Here is a 24,351-nt window from a genome sequence, read left to right on the forward strand (position 1 = left end):
TAATGGCTGGGATTAATGGCAGAATAGGCACTGTAGAAGAAAAGATTATTGAACTTAAAAACACTGTAATAAAAACTCCCCAAAATGAAGAGAAAAATAAATTTTAAAAATAAAAAGAATATCAGTGAGTTTTAGGACAACTTTAAGCATCTTAATAAATGTGTAACTGGAGTCTCTGAAAGGGCAGGGTCAGGCAGAAAATATTTGAGAAATAATGGCTGAAAAGATTCCAAAGCTGATGAAAACTATGAATGCACAGATTCATGAAGCTCGCCAAACCCCAAGCTTAAGAAACATGAAGAAAACTACACCAAGGCATATTATAATTGAATTGCTTGCAGTGAGCCCAGATCACGCCACTGCACTCCAGCCTGAGCGACAGAGCGAGACTCCATCTCAAAAAAACAAAAAAAACAGTGATAAAGAGAAGATCTTAAAAGCAACCAGAAGAAAAAGACATGGTATGTACAGAGAACAAAGATAAGGACAACTGTAGTTTTCTCTTTGGAAACGGTGCAAGCAGAAACACAGTGGAAATATCTTTAAGCACTGATAGAAAAAAATAATAATTTCAATTTCTAAACGCCCCCACAAATCTTTCCAAAAGAAAGGTGACATAAAGACTTTTCCAACATATGAAAGCTGAAAGAATTCATCATGAGTAGACACAAACTGCAAGAAACAGTAATGGAAATTCTTCAAGCAGAAGTAAAATTATACCAAAGAGAAATCTGGATATACACAAAGAACTGAAGAGCACCAGAAATAGTGACTACATGAATAAATGTGTAAGACTTTTTTACTATTTAATTTGCTTTAAAATATAAATTGTTTAAACAAAATAATGACAATGTATTGTGTAAAATGTGACAACAACATAAAGGCCAGAGGGAGAGAGTACCATAGAAGAATCTTAGACTATATGTCAGAGTTTCTCAAACACAGCACCATTGACATTTTGGGCCAGATAATTTTCCACTGTGAAAAACTATCCTGTGCATCGTAGGATTTTAGCAGGATCCCTGGCTTCTACCCACTAAAGGCCCCTAGTCCCTGCATATCGTCAATAATCCTCTGGAAGACAAAATTGTTCCCAGCTGAAAATCAATGCTATATGTGGAAAGGTTTAATATCACTTGACAATAGATGGTGATAAGTTAAAAATATACATAATAAATTCTAGAGCAAGTACTAAAATAATGAAATAAAGAGATAATAGGCCAACAGATAAAATAAAATTGAGCATTAGAAAACATTCAATCCAAAGAAGGCATAAAAAGAGTTTAAAAGAACACATTAGATGGGATACACAGAAAACAAGGAAGGGTGACAGTCTTAAACCTAACCATGTTCAAAAAATCACATTAGATGTATATGGTTTAAATACCCAATTAAAAGGTAGAGAGTGTCAAACTGAATAAAAAATCAATACTAAATGACATGCTGCCTAAAACAAATGCACTTTAAACATGAAGACAGAAACAGATTAAGAGTCAGGATGGAAAAAAAGATATATAACACTAACACCAGTCAAAGAAAGCTACAGTGGCTGTATCAACATAAGACAAAGACTTCAGAGCAAAAAATAATATTAGGGATGAGGAAGGTCATTTCATAAAGACAAAGGGGTCAATTTCCCAAGAGGACATAATAATAATAAATATGTATGCCCCTAATAAGGGAGCTTCAGAATCACGAAGTAAAAGCTGATAGAACTATAATGAAAAGTAGCCAGATCTACAGTTATGAATATTAATACTCTTCCTCAATAATTGATAGAATAAGCAGGCAGGAAATCAGCAAAGATATAGTAGAGTTAAATATTCTCAATCAACATGACCTGTTTGACACTTATGGAATGCTCCATGGCAAAGTGTTCTTTCTTCTCCAGTGGTTGCAGAACATTTACTAAGATATTCTGGGAAACAAAATTGGTCTCAATAAATCCCAAAATATTCCAGTCATATAAACTATGTTCTCCCAACAAAATGGAATTAAATTAAGAACCAATATCAGAAAGATGTCTGTAAACCTTCCAAATATTTGGAAATTATATAACAAACTTCTAAATAATCTGTGGGTCCAGAAGAAAGCAAAGAGAAGGTAGAAACTATCTTGAATTTAATAAAAATGAAAGCACAACTTATCAGAATTTTGGGGATGCCAGTAAAACAGTACCTAGTGGGTAAGAAAAGTCTCAAATCAGTGACCTCAGTTTTCATTTTAAGAAAGTAGAAACTTTTAATATGGGTCAAATTAAATTCAAAGCCAAAGAAAAGGAAAGAATAAGGATCAATGGAGAAGTCAATTACCATTGAAAACAGAAAAACAGAGAGAAAATGAAACCAAAAGCTGGTTCTCTAGGAAGATCAGTAACCTTGGTAAACTTCTAGCCAAGCTGATCAGGAAAAATGAGAGAAGACACAAATTACCAAGGTTAGAAATAGGAATGCTGATATCAGTATAGATTATACAGCTATTAAAACAATAATAAGAGAATATTATGAACAACTTTATGCCAATAAATTCATGACCTAGATTAAGTGGACAGATTCTGGACAAATTTTGGCTATATTTCTGCTATTGCCTTATCATTTTTCAACTTCTAAATGTTGGAGCACACAAGATTGCCTTCGGCAATGTTCTCTTTTCAGCCCAACCAGCAAATAGGTCCCCAAAAATCACAGGGAAATTTGAGATGAAAACGTAAACATAACATATAAAAACTTATGGGATGCAGAAAACACAGTGCTCAGAGAGAAATATACAACCATACATACCTACATTAAAAGAGAAGAAAGATATCAAATCAACAACTTAACTGTGTGCATTAAATAACTACAAAAATCAGAGCAAACCAAACGCAAACCTAACAGAAGAAAGGAAATAATAAATACAAAGCAGATGAAATAGAAACAAAAAAACAACAGAGAGAATCAACAAAACAAGAAGTTGCTTATTTGAAAGTAAAATACTAAGAAACCTTTAGCTAGACTGAGTAAAAGAGACAACGCAAATACTTAAAATGAGAAATGAAAATGGGTACATTACTACTGCTTTACAGAAATAGTAAGGATTACAAAATAATACTATAAACAACTGTTGTATTAGTCCATTTTCACACTGCTGTAAAGAATACCTGAGACTGGGTAATTTACAAAGGAAAGAGGTTTAATTTACTCACAGTTCCACATGGCTAGGGAGGCCTCAGGCTTACAATCGTGGCAGAAGAGGAAACAGAAGCGAGTACCTTCTTAGAAAGATGGCAGGAGAGAGAGCGGGCAAAGGGGGAAGAGCCCCTTATGAAACCATCAGATATCGTGAGAACACACTCACTACGATGAGAACAGCATGGGGGAAACTGCCCCCCACGATCCAATCACCTCCCACCAGGTCCCTCCCTCAACACGTGGATTACAGTTCGAGATTTGGATGGGGACACAGAGCCAAACCATATCAGTTGTACACCAACAAATTTGATAACCTGAATGAATGGGACAGATTGAAATTACCAAATTATCAAAACAGGCTCACGAAGATCTCACAACAACAATCTACATAATCAACAGAACTATAAGAAGAAAAGAGATTGAATCAGTAATCAAAAACCTCCCAAAAAAGAAAAGCCCAGGACCATCACCATATTCACTAGTGAATTCTACAAAATATTTTAGGAAGAATTAATACCTTTTTTCAAAATCTTCTCCCCAAAATAGAAAGGACACCTCCTAACTCATTCTATGAGGTCATATTTATCCTGATACCAAAGTCAAACAGACAACACCCTACAAGAAGAGAAAACCACAGATCAATATTCCTTAGGAATACAAATGCAAAACTCTCAACACTAGTAAACTAAACCCAAATGCATGTTAAAAGAAATATACACCATGACCATATGCAATATATGCAAGGGATGCAAGAATGTTTCAACAAGAAAATTAAGCAATGTAATAAACAACATTATGAGAATAAATGGGAAAAAAAACCACATGATCATCTCAGTTGATGAAGAAAACACATTTCACCAAATCTGACACCCTTGCATGATAACAACACTAAGAAAACTAGGAATAGAAAGGAACTTCCTCAAAATAATAAAAGGCATTTATGAAAAAACAACAGCTAACATCATAATGGTGATAAACTGAAAACTTCTCCCCTGCTGTGGTTTAAATGCATGTGTCACTTTCAAATACATATGTTGGAACTTAACACCCAAAGTGGTGATATTAAGAGGTGAGGTCCTTGGGGTGATTAGGCCATAAGGGATCCAGTCTCATGAATGGGATTAATGACCTTATGAAAGGGCTTGAGGGAAAGAGTTTCTCCCTTCAGCTCCTCCCACCATGTGGGGACAGAGCAATTGTCCCCTCTGGACAATGCAGCGACATGGCACCATCTTGGAAACAGACAGTGAGCCCCTACCAGACACCAAATTTGCTAGTGTCTTGATCTTGGACTTCCCAGCTTCCAGAAGTATAAGAAATAAATTTCTGTTCTTTATAAATTACCCAGTCTAAACTGTTTTGTTATTCTAGCTTGAATGGACAAAGGCACCCTCAAAATCAGGAACAAGACAAGGAGCACCTTTTCTTCTCCCTCTTTTGCCACTGCTATTCAGCATTGTCCTAGAATTTCTAGCCAGAGCAAATAGGAAAGAAAAAGAAATAAAAGTTATCCAAGTTGGAAAAGAAGAAGTAAAACTATACCTATTCATAGGTGGCATAATTCTATACATAAGAAATCCCAAATAAATGAATGCAGCAAAGTGTAGGATACAAGATCAACACACAAAAATCAGTGGTATTTTAAACACCAGCAATGAACAATCTGAAAAGAAAACTAAGGAAACATTCCGCTATGATTAAATGCTCCTCCTCTCTAACACTATGTTGAAACTTAATGCAACAGTATTAAGATGTGGGGCCTTTTAGAGGTGATTGTGTCGTGAGGGCTCTGCCATTAACCACTAATAGGTTAATAGGTTAATGAGCTATTACAGGGGTGGGTTAGTTATGACGAGAGTGAGTCTGTTATAAAAGCCAGTTTGGCATGCTCTAGCTCCCTCTCCATGTGATGCCCAGTGCTGCCGCAAAATTCTGCGGAGTCCACACCAGCAAGAAGATCCTCACCAGATGTAGCCTCCAGAACAGTAAGAAAATCCAGCAAACCTACTACTAAGTACATATCCAAGGGAAATGAAACCAGTGTATTGAAAAGGTATCTGCATTCTCATGTTTATTGCAGCACTATTCACAATAGCCAAGATATGGAACCAACCTAGGTGTCCATCAATTGATAAATGGATAAATAAAATGTGGTATAAATACACAATGGAATACTATTTAGCATAAAAATGAATGATATTCTGTCACTGGTGATGACATGGAGGGACCTGGAGGACATTATATTAAGTGAAATAAGCCAGGCACAAAAAAACCAACACTGCATGATCTCACTCAAGTGGAATCTACAAAATGTTGATCTCATAGAAATAGAGAGCAGAAAAGTGGTTACCAGAGGATGGGGAGGACAAGGGGTGGGGAGATGGAGAGAAGTTGGTCAACAGGTACAAAGTTACAGTTAGATTGGAGGAATCAGTTCTGGTGTTCTATTGCACAATAGAGTGACTATAGTTAACAATCATATATTGTATATTTCAAAATAAGAGGATTTTTAATATCTTTACCTCAAACAAATAATAAATGTTTGAGGTAATAGATTTGCTAATCATCCTGATTTGATTATTGCACAATGTATACATGTATCAAAACAGCACGCTGTGCCCCATAAATATGTGTGATTATTATATATCAATTACAAATAAAATACATCTTTTAAAAAGTACTATAAAAGGTTGGGCATGGTGGCTCACGCCTGTAATCCCAGCACTTTGAGTCAGGGGGATCACCCGAGGCCAGGAGTTTAAGACCAGCCTGGCCAACATGGTGAAACCCCGTCGCTACTAAAAATACAAAAATTAGCCAGATGTGGTGGTGCATGCCTGTAATCCCAGCTACTCGGGAGGCTGAGGCAGGAGAATCGCTTGAACCCAGGAGGCAGAGGTTGCAGTGAGCTGAGATTATGCCACTGCAGTCCAGCCTGGGCAACAGAGTGAGACTGTCTCAAAAAACAAAAAAACAAACAAACAAACAAATAAAAGTTCTATAAAAGATAAATATATTTTCTTTATAAATTACCCAGTCTCGGCCGGGTGTGGTGGCTCACGCCTGTAATCCCAGCACTTTGGGAGGCCAAGGTGGGCAGATGACCTGAGGTCAGGAGTTCCAGACCAGCCTGGCCAACATGGTGAAACCCTGTTTCTATTAAAAATACAAAGAGTTAGCCGGGTGTGGTGGTGGGCACCTGTAGTCCCAGCTACTTGGGAGGCTGAGGCAGGAAAATCACTTGAACCCAGGAGGCAGAGGCTGCAGTGAGCCAAGATTGGGCCACTGCACTCCAGCCTGGGCAGCAGAATGAAACTCCATCTCAAAAAATAAAAGACAAACAAACAAACAAGTAAATAAATTACTCACTCTCAATTATTCAGTTATAGCAACAGAAAACAGACTAAGACAAATTTACAATAGCATCAAAAAGAATAAAATACCTAGGAATAAATCTAACCAAGAACATGTACAACTTGTACACTGAAAACTACAAAAACATTTCTGAAAGAAATTAAAGAATACTTAAAAAAAATTTCCATATTCAAGGATGATTCTTAAGATGGCAATACTACTCAAAATTATCTACAGATTCATTATAATTCCTATCAAAATTCCAATGGCCTTTTTTGCAGAAATGGAAAACCTGATCCTAAATTCATATGGAATTAAAGAGCCCCATATTGACAAAGCAACCTTGAAAAAGAAGAATAAAGTTCAAGGACTCACATTTCCTGATTTGAAAACATACCATGAAACTACAGTAATCAAAAGATCGTGGTAATGCCAGAAGTGTATACATTTACACCAGTGGAATAGAATTGAGAATCTTAGAAATAAAGATATGTCTGTGGCTAGCTAACTGATTTTTAACAAGAGTGTCAAGACTACTCAATGGGTAAAGAATAGTCTCTGCAACAAAGTGTGCTGAGACAACTGGATATTCACATGCAAATGAAGGACATTTGATCCTTACTTCATACCATATACAAAATTTAACACGAAAATGGATGAAAGACCTATATGTAAGAGCCAAAACTATACAACTCTTAGAAGAAAACATAGGTTAAATCATCATGACATTGGATTCACATTAGTTTCTTAGATATGACACCAAAAGCATAAACAACGAAAGAAAAAATAGATAAATTACATTTTATCAAAATTTAAAATGTTCATGTTTCAAAGGACACCACCAAGAAAGTGAAGACAGTCCACAGAAGGGGAGAAAATATTTGCAAATTGTATGTCTAATAAAACTCTAGTATCCAGAATATATAGAGAACTTCTACAATTCAATAAGAAAAAGACAGACAACCCAATTTTCAAATGGGCAAAGGACTTGAATACACATTTCTCCGAAGAATACATACAAATAGCCAATGGGCACATCAAAAGATGCTCAACACCATTAGTCATTAGGGAAACGCAAATCAAAACCACAAAATGGCACCACTTCACACCCACTACAGTGAGTACAATTTTTTTTAAACTAGAAAATAATAAGTGTTGGTAAGGATGTGGAGAAAATTGGAACACACGTGCATTACTGGTGGGAATGTAAAGGGTACAGCTGCTGTGGAAAACAGTTTGGTAGTTGTGGACAAAAGGTTAAATATTAAATTTAAACTGAATTGAACGTGGACACAAACAATGGTCACCAAGTCCCAGAACAGGTTGTGTGAGCCCCTTGAGGCATTCACTCAGCACTGTTTTGGACAAATCTCTATTTCAATCTATTCCTATATGTTAGTTATTGAAAAACAACAGACAATCCCCAAAACAAGTTGACCTTTTTGTGTTCCTTAATCCCAGTCATGAAGGTCCCTCGTGACTGGACCTCAGGCCAAACAACTCATTACAAAAAGACCTAGGGTCCCAGACCGTGCCAAAGCTTCATGAGACCTTTCCTCATCAGTGCACAGACAAGTGGCTGACTCTGGAGCCCAGGCTGCTGCTTCCCAGTCTGGTGGTGAAACCTCCATAGTCTGGTGAGTGTAGTGGCCAACTCTGGAACCCAGGCTGTTGCTTTGCGGTCTGGTGATGAATTCCCGATAGTCTACTGAGTGTAAATATGTATATATCTTTTCCCTTCTCCCCTTCCCATTGCAATTTGCTTATTATATCAATTTGCTTATTATATCATTTTCTTATTATATCTGCATTGCCATTTACGTGGGAGAAAGGTCGTTTACCCTTAAAGGTATTGTGTGTGTGTCTTTTCTTCTCCCCTTGCGTGTTTCCACACAGAACAGTGGTTCCTCAAAAATTCAAATACAGAATTCCATATGACCTAGCAATTCAAATTCTAGTTATATACCCCAAAGAATTGAAACTGGTACTTAAACAAATACTTGTACACTAATATTCATAGCAGTACTACTTGCAATGGCAAAAGGTGGGAACAACCTAAATGTCCATCAATGGATGATAGATAAACAAGCAGTGGGGAGGGGGGATAGAGAGTGACAGTCTAATAGATACAAAGTTTTCTTTGGGGGTGATAAAAATATTTTGCCATGTTATAGAGGTGTTGGTTACATAATATTACAAACATACTAAATGTCACTTTTAAATGGTTTCTTTTATATTATGTGAATTGCACCTCAATAAAATATCTATCTGGCTGGGCTCGGTGGCTCACACCTGTAATCCCAGAACTTTGGGAGGCCGAGGCAGGTGGATCACCTGAGGTCAGGAGTTCGAGATCAGCCTGACCAACATGGTGAAACCCTGTCTTTACTAAAAATACAAAAATTAGCTGGGTGTGGTGGTGGGCACCTGTAATTCCAGCTACTTGGGAGGCTGAGGCAGGAGAATCACTTGAACCTGGGAGGCAGAGGTTGCAGTGAGCCGAGATCATGCCATTGCACTCCAGCCTGGGTGACAGAGTGAGAATCCCTCTCAAAAAATAAAATAAGATATTTGTTTAAAATTTGATTATATATTTTCTAAAAGATCTACTCTTTTGCTGTGTGGAGAGTTGCATTAGTCGGGATAAGATAGTTTTGGTGCAGTGTGATGAAATCAGGATATTAGTTTTGGACATTTAAATTTGAAATGTTATAAGCTATCATAGTGTAGCTGTTGAATAGAAAGCTGAATATACATGTGTTGGAGTTCAAGAGACAGTCAGTCTGCAGAAAAAAATCAGGAATCACAGCATTTAGATAGTGTTTAAAGGTATAGGATTAGGTGAGATCGACACTGATAGTGAAAATAGGCTGTTGTTATGAGGTCATCTTGAGTCACTTTTGGTAATTTGTATGCATATTAGTCCATTCTCACACTGCTATAAAGACATACCTTAGACTGGGTAATTTATATAAAGAAAAAGATGTTTAATTGGCTCACTGTTCTGCAGGTCTGTACAGGCTTCTGTTTCTTGGGAGGCCTCAGGAAACTTACAATCATGGAAGAGGCAAAGGGGAAGCAGGCGCATATTCACATGGCTGGCAGGAAGGAGAGAGCAATGGGGGAAGTGCTACACACTTTCAAACAAGCAGATCTTGTGAGAACTGTATCACGAGGCGGCACTAAGGGGATGGCGCTAAACCATTAGAAGCCACCCTCATGATCCCACCAGGCCCCACCTCCAACAATCAGGATTACAATTCAACATGAGATTTGGGTGGGGACACAGAGCCAAACCATATCAGTATGTGTCCCTTTCATATGGGTTATCTAATTTATAGGTGCACAATTATTCATAGTATTCTGTTATAATCCTTTTTACTTCTGTAAAGCAGTAGTAATGTATCCATTTTCGTTACTGATTTTAGTTATTTGCATCTTTTCCTTTTTATTTTCTTAGTCTAGCTAAAGGTTTGTCAATTTTGTTGCTCTTTTCAAATAATCAGTTTTTTGTTGTGTTGATTCTCTCTATTGTGTTTCTAGTCTCTATTTCATTTGTCTCTGCTCTATATTTATTATTTCATTCCTTCTGTGAGCTTTGGGTTTGGTTTGCTCTGATTTTTCTAGTTATTTAATATATTACAGTTAAGTTGCTGAGCTCTCTCTGAGTGCTGTTTTTGCTGTATCCCCTACATTTTAGTATGTTGTGTTGATGTTTTCATCCATCTCTAAGTATTTTCTATTCCTCATACTTTGGAGGTATCTATTGGTTAAGAGTGTGTTGTTTAGTTTACACATATTTATAAACTTTTCAGTTTTCCTTCTGCTATTGATTTTTAGTTTTATTCCATTGTGGTCAAAGAAGATATTTTGTATGATTTCAAGCTTTTTAACTTATTGAGTTGCTTTATTACCTAACATGTTCTATTCTGGAGCGCAGTCAAGTGCACTTGAAAAGAATGTGTATTCTTCTGTTGTTGGGTAGAGTGTTCTGTAGATGTATGTTAAGTCTAGTTAGATCTTTAGTGTTGCTGAAGTCCTCTATTTAATTATAGTTTTCTATTCATTATTTAAAGTAAGTATTCGAAGTCTCCAGCTATTATTATGGAAATATTTTGCTTTTTAATTCTGTTAATGTCTGCTTCATTTAATTTAGGGTTCTCTTGATTAATGTGCATATGTTTATAATTGTTATATCTTCTTGATTAATTGACCCCTTTATCAATGCACAATGACTTTCTTTGTCCCTTGTAATGATTTTTGACTTAAAGACTATTTTTTTCTGATATTAGTGTAGCCATCCTAGCTTTGTTTTGGTTATTATTTGCATAGAATATCTTTCTCTATCTTCCCATGTTCAACTCACTTGTGTCTTTTGATCTAAAGTGAGTTTTCCATATACAGCCTTCAGTTGGATTGTTTTCTTAATTCATTCTGCCAATCTCTGCCTTTTGATTGGAGAGTTTAATAAATTTACATTTAAAGTTATTACTGATAAGAAAGGACTTATTTCAGCCATTTTACCATTTTTTCTGCATGTTTTACACTGCATGTTTTTACATGTTTCTACATGTTTCTTCTGTTTAGTTTATTTTTTGGAGTGTACCTCTTTGATTCCTTTCTCATTTTTTTCTGTAATATATATTATATATATTAATTTCTGTAATATATATTCTGTTATATATTATATATATTACAGAAAAGTAAGATATATATTATATATTACAGAAAAGTAAGATATATATTATATATCTATTACTTTTGCATCAACTGGTGCTATTCCACTTCTGGAACTAGAAGTCCCATATAGTTCCAGAAGTGGAATAGCACCAGTTGGTGCAAGCTCATAGTAACAGCCATGGGTTTGAGCAGGCACTGCATGATACAGATGGGAACCTGTGGGGTCTAGGAAGTTGGGCTGCTGCGAGGCAGTGAGGAGGATAACATTCATTCCTGACTGTTCCTGCCTCACCCCACCCAGTCCTTCCCCACTGGGTGCTCATGACCCCACAAAAGAAGGTAGATTACAAAAAGGGACATTTTTCAGGCTTTGAGTCTCAAAGCCTAAGAAGGCCCTTAGATTCTGCCTGCCACCATCAGGTGGAGCTTCACAGGGGAGGGACTCACTGAAAGATAATCCTTGACAGACGAATAGGATTTCATGGACAAGAAAAACATGGTGGATAAGAATAAGGATTCCACCACCTCTCCTTACTTCACCACCAGCCTCCCATCAATCAGGACCCCATTACCAAGGCTAACAGGAAAAAGAGGAGTTGGGGGGAACAACGAGAGAGTAGATTTGAGCAGATCCCAAAGAGGGGGTCCTGCAAGTTGCTCGCAGGCTGAGACTGAGGGAAACATAAGAATACAGGTAAGTGTGTTGGGTCTCTGAGCAGAGGCAAGCTAAGCCTGTATCCAGGTAAGACTCTGGAGATGTAGCAGGGGTGTTCTCAAGAGAAATGATCACATCAGGCTGGGCATCGTGGCTCATGCCTGTAATCCCAGCACTTTGGGAGGCCGAGGCAGGCAGATCACTTGAGGTTAGGAGTTCGAGACCAGCCTGGCCAACATGGCAAAATGGCGTCACTACTAAAAATACAAAAATTAGCCAGGCATGGTGGTGCGCGCCTGTAGTTCTAGTTACTCGGGAGGCTGAGGTATGAGAATTGCTTGAACTCGGGAGGCAGAAGTTGCAGTGAGCCAAGATTGCACCACTGCACTCAAGCCTGGGTGACAGAGTGAGACCCTGTCAAAAAAAAAAAGAAAGGAAAGAAGGAAGGAAGGAAAGAAAAAAAAGAGAGAAAGAAAGAGAGAGGGAAAGAGGGAGAGAGGGAGGGAGGGAGGGAGGGAGGAAGGAAGGAAGGGTTGCATTGGACGTCTAAGCAGAGGGAATCTTAGGCAATCTCTCAACAGAAGAATTCCTGAGAGCCAAAATCAGCCCAGAAGGGGCAGGAAGGTAGCCAGCCAGACCCTAAGAGGTCATGAGGTCACACAACAGGGATGAAGGATGCCACCCTCCCCACTCCATGACATGCACAGACAAATGATACCAAGAAGCAGAAGCCCTCTCTTCTCCAAATTCCAGCCTCAGCTATAAGGGAAGAGAGAAGGTCCTGTGTTGGCCAAGATTAGGATTCTTGCACTTCATCAGAGTGGGGGTTGGAATTAGAATAAAAAGGATTTCTATTTCCTGCATGCCTGAGTAGTGGCTACAATTTCTGCTCATTGCTGTAGAATGCAAGACAGGTAGTAGAGGCAGATGTGAGAGGGTGGAGACAGGATGTGCACTGGAGAGAAAGACATGGCGGGGCAGACAGCACCAGTCTTCCAGACTCCGCGACCAGTGCCTCCCCAGAGTTATGCACCTCTCAAGGTTCCCACAGCCTGTTGGGGTGGGGTGAGGCAGGTAGGGATGCTCCGAGCATCTGTCAGGCTGGCATCTGGTCTCAGCTCTGAGTTGCAGAACGAGAGAGCTGCTGCCAAGACCCCCTTTTTGTTTCTTTTTTCACCTTTCCTTGACTCAACAGCAAATGAATGGATCAATGCAGTGAAATAACCAGGAAGTGACCACTCCTGGCTCATCTATCCGTTCATTCAAGGAACTGTGTCCCAGGCAGCAGTGTAGGGAGGTGCTGATTCTGCCTGGCACCACCAGGGGGAGCTTCACAGAGGAGGGATTCATTGAAAGGGGAACCTTGAAAGGTGAACAGGATTTCATGGACGAGACAGAGTAGGGTGAGTGGCTCTACATCCAGACACATGAGGAAAGGCTGTTGGGTCTGGAATCTGGACAGAAGGGCCATGGCCCATTTTCCTCTGTGTTCCCATCACCCAGTAGAGAAATCGACGGAAGGAGGACAGATGGTCAGACAGATAAATGGGTAAAGGAGTCAGTGGAGGGATGGCTGCACTATGGCTATTTCAAGCAAGGTGGAAAAGACTCAAGAAACACAAGAAGCAAGTTAAAGTCTCTAATACAGTCAGCCTAGGTGCCAACTCAACCTCATTTCAAGCTTGCCCCTCTGTGTGCAATGCCCCGCTCCATGGCTCAGTGTGATGAGCTCCAGCTGAGGCCGAGAGCCAGCGTGGTGTGGTGGACGCACAGGCCTCAGCTCAGCCCAGCCTCCCCTCCACCCCTTGCATCATCACACCCAGCCCTGCTCAACTCCGCATGGGTCTTGAACCGGCAGACTCCTTTCATATGGGCTGTCCCTCCTCCTGGAAAATCACTACCCTCTCCATGTCCACTGAACTCTGATTTACTCTTAGATCCATTTGGGGACCCAAAAGGGAGTCTACACTATATTGTATGGGTGACCCTCCCTACCACTGCCCAGCTGTTAGGGGATTGCTTCTCTGCCTTTGTAGCTGTTCTCTACTCTCCCCTCGAGAACATGCGGGGTTATTCTACTTTTCTGGGGATATTCGGCTTAGCCATAGTTCCTTGGGAAACCTTCCCTGATTCTCCCACACTGGAGGAGTTGCTACTTCCTGGGTGCTCAAAGAACAACCTGCATTTCCCACATTCAAGTGTCTATCCCACCACACCCAAGTCACATCACTCTGAGTGGCATGGCCAGGATCTGGACAGCAGCCGGTCTGAGATGAGGGCCCAGGCACTCAGCGAGTGACAGTGCTCTCTGCCTTATCTCCAAGGACCAACAGGGAGCAGGGGGCTGTATTGTCAGCTGCCCCACAGTCATCCTGCACACAAGCAACCTCTAGCCCAGTGGCTTACAGCAGGCTACAGTAAGCTGAGATCACGCCACTGTACTCCAGGCTGGGCAACAGAGTGAGACTCCATATCAAAAAAAAAAAGAAGAAAAAATAAATAATCAGTACAAAATACAATAGGTAAATAATCACAGATAAAATTTTTAATTGACTAAACCATGGATAAAGTAATAGTTCATAAAGAAAACTTGCAGAGGCAGGAGTTACATTGGCAAAATTTGACAAGAAGTTTTAAGGCCCAATGGATAAATCAAATCTTCATTGAGAGACCTATAAGAAAGGTAATTTATCCCAGTGAAGATACTTTCAGTGAAATAAAAATTAAAATGAACAACCAGATGAATGAACGAAATTGAGGCAAACCCGAGAAAGAGCACATCATTCTCAGGAGTGACCAGATGGTGGCAGCAAACACCAGTGATGGAATCAGCCCAGCCAAGGTTCTGGAAGTGTGGTCTTCCCACTAGTACCGGAAAGTGTAGAATCATCCCAGGCAAGGACAAACAACACGCTGCTGCGAACGTGTTAGAAAGGCAAATCCCTAACCCACTGAATCAGTAACTGCTAGGAATGAGGCCCAGCAATCTGCATTTTGAGAAGCTCTCCAGGTGATTCTGGTGCACACTCAGGTTTACCCCAAGAGCAGTTAAACCCTGCAGCCAAGCACAGGGCTATTTTCTCCAACATTAGCAGGTGCTACTCGAGGAGTCGATTATGTGTTTATTTTACCAAACAGTTTCTGCCTAGCCACTAAACTGCTTTTTTTGAAAGAAACAAAATGCAGGCAGCTCTCTGTGAGACTCAGGTGCCTGCTGCAGTCAACCTTGAGTCCAGTCTGAAACAGGGACGGGGGTGGTCTGAGCCCTGTGTCTGCAAGAATAGCCCTGAGGCTGGCCACCCTTGCCCCAGCTGTCCTGCTGGCCTGAGCACTGTGGCCGCCGTCTCCACCTGTCTCCTCCTTTCCTGCCTCTTGCTTCTCACACTGATTCCCTGGAGCTGCTGGTTTTCTGTTGGTCTTGTGTCTCCTCTTGGGAAGAGACCCTATAATCTACCCTGGGGAATGGGGTTTGCATTTCTGGCTGTTGGCTCCTCCCAGCCCCGGAACTGGAGGTCAAACGTTATGCACCACAGAGCTCTCTTTCCATGGGTCCCCAGCTGATAAATTAGAGGAAAAACCCAAACCGGGCCCTCCTACTCCACCAGCTCTGTCCTCGTTCCTCCCACAAAAGGCCGAGTGATACCCTCAGTCACACCCCATGAGGGTGTTCCACCTGGGGTGCCTGGAGGGAGGTGAAGAGATGATGACATGACCCCCAAAGCCTTAGAACAGAAGTCTGGATACAGCAGCTGACAGAGCATGGTCTGTGGAGGAGAACAGATCTGGCCCAGTCTCAGTCCATCACTTCCTGCAGGGTTCATCCAAGTCACCAAACGTCACCGAGACTCCATTGCTATTGAGGCCTCAGTTTGCAAATCTTTGAAATGAAGCCAAACCTACATTTCTCACAGTTCACTAAACGAGCAAGCATGTAAATGCCCAGCACAGCGAGTCACACATGGTAGGGCCCCCGTACATGGACATCCTTCCCTTCCCTCAGGAAGCAGTGAGTTTCCTGTGCCTCGCAGTTTAGGAGCAGAAAGGGCCTCCCATTTTGTCAGAAACATTGTGGAGCATAGATTACAAACTCAAATGGCTATAGGATGCAGGAGAATCACAGAAACCAGTGCAGTAGCTGGATGGGGCCCGTGAGAAACGGGAGGGTGTGTGCTGGGTCTAAAGGGATCAGCGGGGCAGTTACCGGGCTAGTATGGGGCCTAGAGTCACCAGACTTTCTTGTTTTTCAAGAGAAGCTGGAAACATGTATGTGGGTGTGAAGCCCTGGCTACAGCCCGCCACTTCTGTTCTACTCAACTGTAGCAGAGGGGACCCAGGCCCAGGTCCCTCCTGCTGTGGCCTGTTGCAGCTGGCACCTGCGAGTCTCCTGGGCTTTGCAGCTTGACTCCAGCACCACTTACAAGAGATCTAGGAGCCTCTTCTCCATCTGTAAAAGGGAGCTACTCATCGTATTGACTTCACCAGTGCAATGGCAGTTGTGAAAGGGTTTTGAGACTGCATCCATAGTGGGGTGTTCCTGTCAACCAGGGAGAGCAAAGCACATCTAATAAGGACTCCCAGGGAGGCACCATTAGAGCCCAACACAGTCAGGTTTGTTACCTTGGTGCAATGAGAGAGACTGCACAGTGCACACCCGGGAGCATGGGGCATCCCCCAAGAGGAGTAACAGGCGACTACAGGATGGGGGAAGGGTGGAGCACAGGGACAGATTTACATAAAACAGGGCTGTAGGGAAGGGCTCTGCTGAGAGATGGACCTTGGCTCCTGTGCCCCTGGAAGCTACAAAGTTAAGATCAATGTGGCAGATTGTGTCTGAGGTCCCTTACCTGGAGTTCTGCAGCCGGGTTGGAAATGGAGGCTGTTTCTCTGAGCCACAGTGAGCCCCTGACTTGGGTCCTCCAGAGACTACTGGGAGGTCCCATTCTCACTTAGGATTCCAAGCAGCCCAGTGTCTGGCTGTCTAAGATTTCAGAGAAAAAGGTTTCTCAGCACCTCATCTTCTGTGGTTCTACAGATGTGGGGTCCTAACAACAGTAGGTGCCCCTCCAGCGCCGTCCAGGTTCCCCTCTCAAAGTTGCATGCAGCCAGCCCAGCCCACTCCCTCCTGCTCCTGCTGCTGTGGGCAGCCACCCATCTCTATTCCCCACTTCCTCAAATGTGCCCTCCACCTCTGTGCTTTCCTGGATCCTGGATCTCCTTTTCTGTGTTTCTTTGTTTTGTTGTGTTGCTTTTTGTTTTTCAGAGACAGGGTCTGTCTCTGGAGTGCAGTGGCTGGAGTGCAATGGCACGATCCTAGCACACCACAGCCTCAACCTCCTGACCTCAAGTGATCTGCCCACCTCAGCCTCCCAAAGTGCTGGGATTACAGGCATGAACCACTGTACCTGGCCAGGATCCTGGCTTTCTCTGGGGACACCATCCCTTTCCTGCCCTCCCTCTGGGTTAATTCAATAGCCCCTCCAGGGCCTCTGAGTACCAGCATCTGCCACCTCCAGGTCCCCATCAGAGGTGACCATGTATCCCGGGTTGGCTACATGTCATGGAATGGATGGTCACCCAGCTCCAGTGGAAGCAGAAAACACCCAGAGACCTCCTCTGCATTAAAGCGTGGGTCTCTGGGCATGCTTCTCCCTCCTCTCCCCCCTTCCTGAGACCAGCAGAGTGTCAGACACCGGAAGCGTCCCCATCTCTTCTCCCATCCTCCTGCAGGGTCCTCAGGCCCTGCCCCACTCCAGCCAGCAGCAGGTGCTAGGCCCGCATGACCAGACTCCCTCTTCTTTCCAGCTGACATCCAGCTGTTTCCTCACCCACCCCCACTTTGTTCCCTCCCCACATGTACCCTCATGCGGCATCCATTCCAGGGAGGGGGTACAGAGAGTAAACATAGTCCATAAACAATGTCACACATCAGATGGGGAGACACGCTGGAAAAAACTAAAGCATCCAAGGGGGCTAAGAAGTGCTGGTATGCGGTTTTAGACAAGGCCATCCTGGAAGCCTTCATTAACAAGGACGGATGGCAGGGAGGTGAGGGAAAGAGACAGCAGATGGGTTCCCTTCCAGGCAGAGGAAGGGCCCAGGCAAAGGACCAGAGGTGGACAGTGGGGTATGCTGAGGAGACACTGGGAGAAGTGAGGGCAGGGCAGGGCAGGGCCTGGGAGGGAGGGACGGCACTGCCAACCATCACAGGGCCATCACTAAACAGGTTGGCTGGGATCCCACGTTAGCTTGTTGGTGTTGTAAAGGTGATTACCTTAAAGAGGCCCCATTCACAGTGGGTGAGGTGGAGCCCAGCGTCATGCTTTTAGAGGACATTTGGCTTTCTGCACTAAGAAGTATAAAAATGGTCCTACCTCTACCTTTAGGACCAGTCATTACGCATCTGGGACTGTATCCTTACGAAAAAGCCCAAACATCAGATCCCTCAGCTTGATCCCTTTCATTAGCCATGGGAAGGCAGGTGGCTTCCTGGGCCTGGCACACTTCCTCTCTAGTCCCCAAGGCTCTGCAGTCCTACGTCCCCCTCCCCACACCTGGTCTCCCATCTGGACCTGAACTGCCTGCCTGGGGTGTGGCCTAGATCTGTCCCCACCAATGCAGGAAAAAATCGTCGTCCTCACCCTTCTGTCCTAAATGCCCTCTGCCAGATGCTTCTCAGACATCCCTTCTAATGGGCTCTAAAGATGGGCCTGTCTGACATAGGAGAGGGGACAACTTGGGCCAGCCTCTCCCTCCTGCCACGAGTAACAGGTCCTGTCTGGAAGTTCTCATGTGGGTACAGCCTGGCCCCCGTGCCTGGTCAGTGTGTCCCACCCCTCACCATAGATGGCTGAACAAGACTACTCAGGGCCAGGCCTGGCCCTGCTGGTCTCCTTCCAGCCACCAGGGAAAGGACAGAGTCTTTCTTTGAGACAGGGTCTCATTCTCACCTAGGCTGGAGTGCAGTAGTGGGATCATAGCTCACTGCAGCCTCCACCTCCTGGGCTTAAGGGGTCCTCCCACCTCAGCCTCCCAAGTAGCTGGGACCACAGGCAGATGCCGCCACACTTGGGTGATTTTGTAGTGATGGGGTCTTGCTTTGTTGCCCAGGCTGGTGTCAAACTCCTGGCCTAAAAGCAATCCTCCCATCTTCAGCCTCCCAAAGTGCTGGGATCAGGTATGAGTCACTGTGCCCAGCCTGAGGCTTTCTGAGCCGATCCATCTCTGTGCAGGGAGTCTGGAATCTGCTCCTTATCTGGGGTCAGATGAGAAGAATGTCCCAGGTCATGCAGTCTGCATCCAGATGGCATCTGAGATGTTCAAATGAGGAATGGCTCCTGCCCGTTTATCACTCGGTCATTTACAAACTATGGACAGCCTGCTCTGTGCCTGCCTGGTGGGACATGGAGCCCACCGATGCTCAAACACAACTTGCTGGGGCCTCACAGCCCAGGGGAGAGAAGCACACTCCTTTATGAAAGATACATGTGTGTGTCATCAAGAATTAGTTTGAAACTAGCTTTAAATGCAGTTTAATTAATAGCATCTTAATTACCCGGAAAAACAATGCTCTGGTAATTCTTCTTGGCACTCAAAGCAGACCATGTTTTCAACTGGGTTGGAGTGCCTGGTTGATCGGCCCCACAGACATCCCCCCACGCCTGTCCCCCACACACCTGTGGGATGCACACAGCTGAAGGCTACACCTGAATTCCTATCTCTAGCTACAAAGTATCCAAGTCCCTGCCATGTCACCATCTGGAGCTCCAGGCCTATCTAGAGGACACCCCTCCCCTACTCAGACAGCCATGAGTCAGGCTTCCCTGCAGAACCTGACCAATATGGCCAGTGGGCCAGAGTTAGGGTCAGTCAGGGATGTCCCTCACCCCTGCCCACACCACAAGGAGCCAGTTCTTCCCATCACGAAGTAAGCCTTTTCTCCAGGCCCCTTCTGTGACATCACTAGGAGTTTGGGGTCTGGTCCTCTCAGGATCTCGAGTCAACATTCCAGACTTTTTCTCTCATGGAGACCTCATCTTGCCACATGGACACTGTGTAGGCTACCAAGCTCCCTCAGATGTGTTTTAACATCCTGTATCTCAACAAGAGAGAATCAGAACTCTGGTCACTTAGCTTCCTGAGAGACCCTCCAAAGAAAGCCACCTTTGGTGTGTTCCTTCTGCATGGGTCAGGCACGGCACCAGGTGCTGGGACACGGTGATGACAGATCTGAGAGGGTCACAGACCATGTGTGTGACACACTGTCCGACCGTGATCACATGTAGTGATAGGGGCGGCATTGCCAAGCAGCCCGCTGTTCGTGGCCCAGGACTGCCCACGTGACCACCATTCCTCCTGGATGCTGCTCTGGTGCCCTCCCTGCTCTGCTGGGGCTCTACCAGCTTCCTTTCCAGGTCCCAGCCCCATTCCTGAGCACAAACCACAGGTGAGGTAAGGGTCCCAACACCCCTCACCTCAGCACAAGCCCACTGTCCCCTGGCTCCTGCAGGGGTGAGAGGAGGGCTCTGGGCAGAGCCACCTGCAGCTGAGGCTGGACACTGGAGGGGATGGTGAATGCTTCAGCTCTTTCTTCCTGCCTCCACTTCCCAAAGGTGAGGAGCTTGAAGCCACCCCTGAAGCCACTCAGTATGGCCTCTTGTGCTATGAGTCACCCAGCCCCTGGAGCCCTGATCAATCATTAAAGCTACATTCATGGGGTCTCGGCACACAGGCTCTGGGTCCACCTGCCTGGGTTCAGATCCTGGTTCTGTCACTTCCTAGTGGTGCAGTAAATTACTTCATCTCTCTGTGTGTCAGTTTCATCACATATAAAGTGGGAGAGAATAATAATATGAACGTGATAAGGGTGTTGTGAGGAGCTGCAGGTTATAAAACCAAATTAGTGTGTTGTGAACTGCATTTAACAAATAAAATGAATAAAAGAGCATGCCTCACTTCAGAGAGGTTGGTATGCATGTGTGGCGCAAACCATTCCAGGTGTTTTTCTGCCTGAGGTCCCATTGTTTGGGCTTGGGAGATATGAGATGGATTCAACACAGGCCAAGAGCCCTTCATGACAAGACTGGGGTGGAGGCATGTGCACAGGGGCCAGCACTCGCCTGTGTTGAGGACCCCACTCTGCTGGGAAAGGGGGAAAGGAAACACAGTCAGCAGTGGGACCAGGACAGCAGGACACATGTGTCCTGGGCAGGCACCCTTGTGTGTGGCAGAGAGTGCAAGGTCCACACACCCAGGGCCTCAAAAGCCAAGCTGCACTGGTACATTTGACCCCAGGCAAAGAGAATGTAAAGCAGGAGGATGACCCATTAGACAACTATCTAATGAATTCCTACTATGGGGAAGAGCAACATTTCTTTTTTTTTTTTTTTTCTTTTTTCTTGAGACAGAGTTTCACACTGTCGCCCAGGCTGGAGTGCAGTGGCATGATCTCCACTCACTGCAACCTCTGCCTCCTGGGTTCAAGCGATTCTCCTGCCTCAGCCTCCCAAGTAGCTGGGATTAGAGGCATGCACCACCATGCCTGGCTAATTTTTTGTATTTTTAGTAGAGATGGGGTTTCATCATGTTGGCCAGGCTGGTCTTGAACTCCTGACCTTGTGATCCGCCTGCCTCGGCCTCCCAAAGTGCTGGGATTATAGGTGTGAGCCACCATGCCCGGCCTGGAAGAGCTACATTTCTAAAGGTTGACTCAGGGAGCAATTTGGGGGATCAGGAGCTGGTGTCAACACCGGGTGAGGGGATTTGCCAACAGGCTACTGCAATAGCCCCAGCAAGAGCTCTTAAGGACACAGGTCAGAATGTCTAGAGAAAGAAGAGATAAAGGGTGCCCAGCCCTCTGTACTTGGGGCTGAAAAGTCCCCCTTACCCAAGGGAGGACACCTACATTGACCCTGCACACAGGTCAGAGGGACTATGGAAAGAGAAGGCCACAGAGGAAGCCCTCAGACCTCCAAGCACCAAAGCCACACAGCCAAGTGGATGAAGAACTCATGAGCGTGAGTCAGATGGCCTGTGTCTCGGCACATTACTCATCCACCTGTGCTGCCAATTTTCAACTGATAAAATGGGGCCCAGAAGAGGACTGACCTCACAGGGGTGTTCTGAGAGTGAAAGCTAATGACAGTAAAAGCCTTCCGCTGTGTCTGGCACCATGACATCTCCTGACCTGTCTCTCTCACATCAGACTTGCCTAGACACGGCGGTGGCTGACAGCCTGGGAAGACACACTTCATTGAAACTGGGGGACTTTGCAGGCGCCACTGCTCCTCTCTGTACCCAGCCTGCAGTGACCATGCAAGCACAGTATGCGTGCTCCTCAGGGCTCAGCCTTCCCACTAGATGGGGCTTCCTCCTGTGTCTCCCCCATCTGCATCCAGGAGCCCCTTTCAGCAGAAGCCTGTTTACCTCAAGATAGATGATCTTGAACCCATGGCTTCATTAACAAAGCACACAAGGTAGATGGTTGCTATCTACCCACCCAGAACAACTGGCTCCTAAACAAGCTTGTCCAATTGATTTTCACTAAGCCCCCCTCTGCCACTGTTTGCCAGGCACTGGGATATAGAGCAGAGGCATAGCATTTGTCTCCATGGGCATCCTTCCGAGGCAGTCCCCTGCACACAGCCCCACCCTCCCTCTGCCCTGGTGTCCTAGGAGACCCCTGCACCAAACCTACACTTTTCCAATATGAAAAGGGAAGTGACCTGGCTGATCAGTGCTGACCTTTCTAATCATGACAAGCTTCGGAATTCAGGAGAGATGGCTGCAGCCTTCATCTGTCTCCTTGGTTTTCCCAACAAAGCCAACTGACTGTAAAATACAGTTTCCCTTAAACATCTTTTCTGCCTACCTGACTAGTCAACCAGGGTAGCTGTTTCCTGGTCTCCCCAGGGTGTGTCTGGAGTATTTGTCAAGAATACTTCAACTTCCTTCTAAGTGTCCCTGCATCCACTCCAAACTCAGCAGAACTTTGGCATAATGAGAAAGCCCTAAGTCTTTTCAAAACTGACAAACAGGCTTGTTCCTCCATTCCACAGTTATTGATTCAGGGTGTTCTGTGCCAGGCAGTGAGCCTGGCCACCTCAGCCCCCACCCTCAAGGCTGCATTCAGGGCGAGGAAATTGCCATGTGAACACATCCCCACCATTCAGTGTGATGAGTACAGTAGTGGATGCGTGATCATAACACAAAGGGGTTGAGGGGTGGGACACAGCTCAATTCGACCATAAAAGATGAATAGGAGTCATCCAGGAAGGCAGGAACTGGTATAATTTACAACAGGATCAGCTTACTTTACAAGTAATCTCATTCCATTATACCAAACCCTACAAGGTATTGTCAATGCACCCATTTTATAGATGTGTAAGTAAGGTTTGGAGAGGTTAAGTAACTTGCACAAGGTCAGAGTTAGAAACTTGCAAAGAAGAGACAACTCTGTAAGATTTTTTAAATAACAGACCCTAGACCCAGAGCATGAAAGTAAATTTGTTCAAGGTTAGATAGATAGAAGGTGATGGAATCAGGAGTCAAATCCAGGCATCACATTGAGAGCATGGAGGTGGACAGATTATAGACAATCTTTTATGTTGAGAATCTGGATCTCCCATTGATGATGAAGAGGCTCTTAAGGGTTTTAATTGATGCAGCAACCTCACATCCACTCTAATTCATCCAGCCCAAGAAGTATTAGCCATAGAATCTACTAGTGAAGAAGTAGCAATAATTTTCATCCACAATGTAAATATTTGGGGCAAAGACATTCTGTTTTAAAATGTTGAGAAAAAGACTAATAGAGAAACAAGTAACAGGCAATTCTCAAAAGAGAAAATACAAATGGCCAATAAACATATAAAAAAGTACTCAGCCAATTAAACAATTAAATGATTAAAATGATAATAAATACCATTCTTCTCCCACCAGATTGATAAAATGGAAAAAGACAGATAAGAGCAAATATTGGCATGAATATGAGGAATTGTGTACAAACATCTGCCACTTACACGTGGTATGACATGATTTTTCAACTTTGCAGTGGTGCAAAAGTGATATGCATTCAGTAGTAACCATACTTCAGATTTTGAATTTTGATATTTTCCGGTCTAGTGATATGCTGTACTATACTCTCAAGATGCTGGGGCAGAGGCCACGAGCCACAACTCCCAGTCAGCCATGCAATTACAAGAGAAAACACCCAATACTCCATGATGTGTGACCAGATGATTTTGCCCAATTGTTAGCTAATGGAAGCTTTTTGAGCATGTTTAGGGTAGGCTAAGCTATGATGTTCTGTACATTATGTGTATTAAATGCATTTTCCACTTAACAATATTTTCAGCTTCCAGTGGGTTTATCAGGACATAGTCCCATCATAAGTGGAGGAGGATCTATACTCCTATATGCTGTTTGTGGGAGGACAAGGGAGATACATTTATACTACCACTTTATAGGGCCATTTGGAGACTTAAACTTTAAAAT

The 24,351-nt window shown here is 43.8% G+C and overlaps 4 annotated features.

The window, feature by feature from the left end:
- Window positions 13,074-13,575: an enhancer, noted in NCBI's record as "H3K4me1 hESC enhancer chr10:50801171-50801672 (GRCh37/hg19 assembly coordinates)". NCBI's record gives its function as "activates a minimal SCP1, AML or CMV promoter by ChIP-STARR-seq in primed H9 embryonic stem cells {active_cell/tissue: H9 hESC(primed)}" and the evidence as "EXISTENCE:reporter gene assay evidence [ECO:0000049][PMID:30033119]".
- Window positions 13,576-14,075: an enhancer, noted in NCBI's record as "H3K4me1 hESC enhancer chr10:50801673-50802172 (GRCh37/hg19 assembly coordinates)". NCBI's record gives its function as "activates a minimal SCP1, AML or CMV promoter by ChIP-STARR-seq in primed H9 embryonic stem cells {active_cell/tissue: H9 hESC(primed)}" and the evidence as "EXISTENCE:reporter gene assay evidence [ECO:0000049][PMID:30033119]".
- Window positions 14,684-15,185: an enhancer, noted in NCBI's record as "H3K4me1 hESC enhancer chr10:50802781-50803282 (GRCh37/hg19 assembly coordinates)". NCBI's record gives its function as "activates a minimal SCP1, AML or CMV promoter by ChIP-STARR-seq in naive H9 embryonic stem cells {active_cell/tissue: H9 hESC(naive)}" and the evidence as "EXISTENCE:reporter gene assay evidence [ECO:0000049][PMID:30033119]".
- Window positions 15,186-15,685: an enhancer, noted in NCBI's record as "H3K4me1 hESC enhancer chr10:50803283-50803782 (GRCh37/hg19 assembly coordinates)". NCBI's record gives its function as "activates a minimal SCP1, AML or CMV promoter by ChIP-STARR-seq in naive H9 embryonic stem cells {active_cell/tissue: H9 hESC(naive)}" and the evidence as "EXISTENCE:reporter gene assay evidence [ECO:0000049][PMID:30033119]".

The sequence above is a fragment of the Homo sapiens genome, chromosome 10 (genome assembly GCF_000001405.40).
Source record: "Homo sapiens chromosome 10, GRCh38.p14 Primary Assembly".
Taxonomy (NCBI): Eukaryota; Metazoa; Chordata; class Mammalia; order Primates; family Hominidae; genus Homo; species Homo sapiens.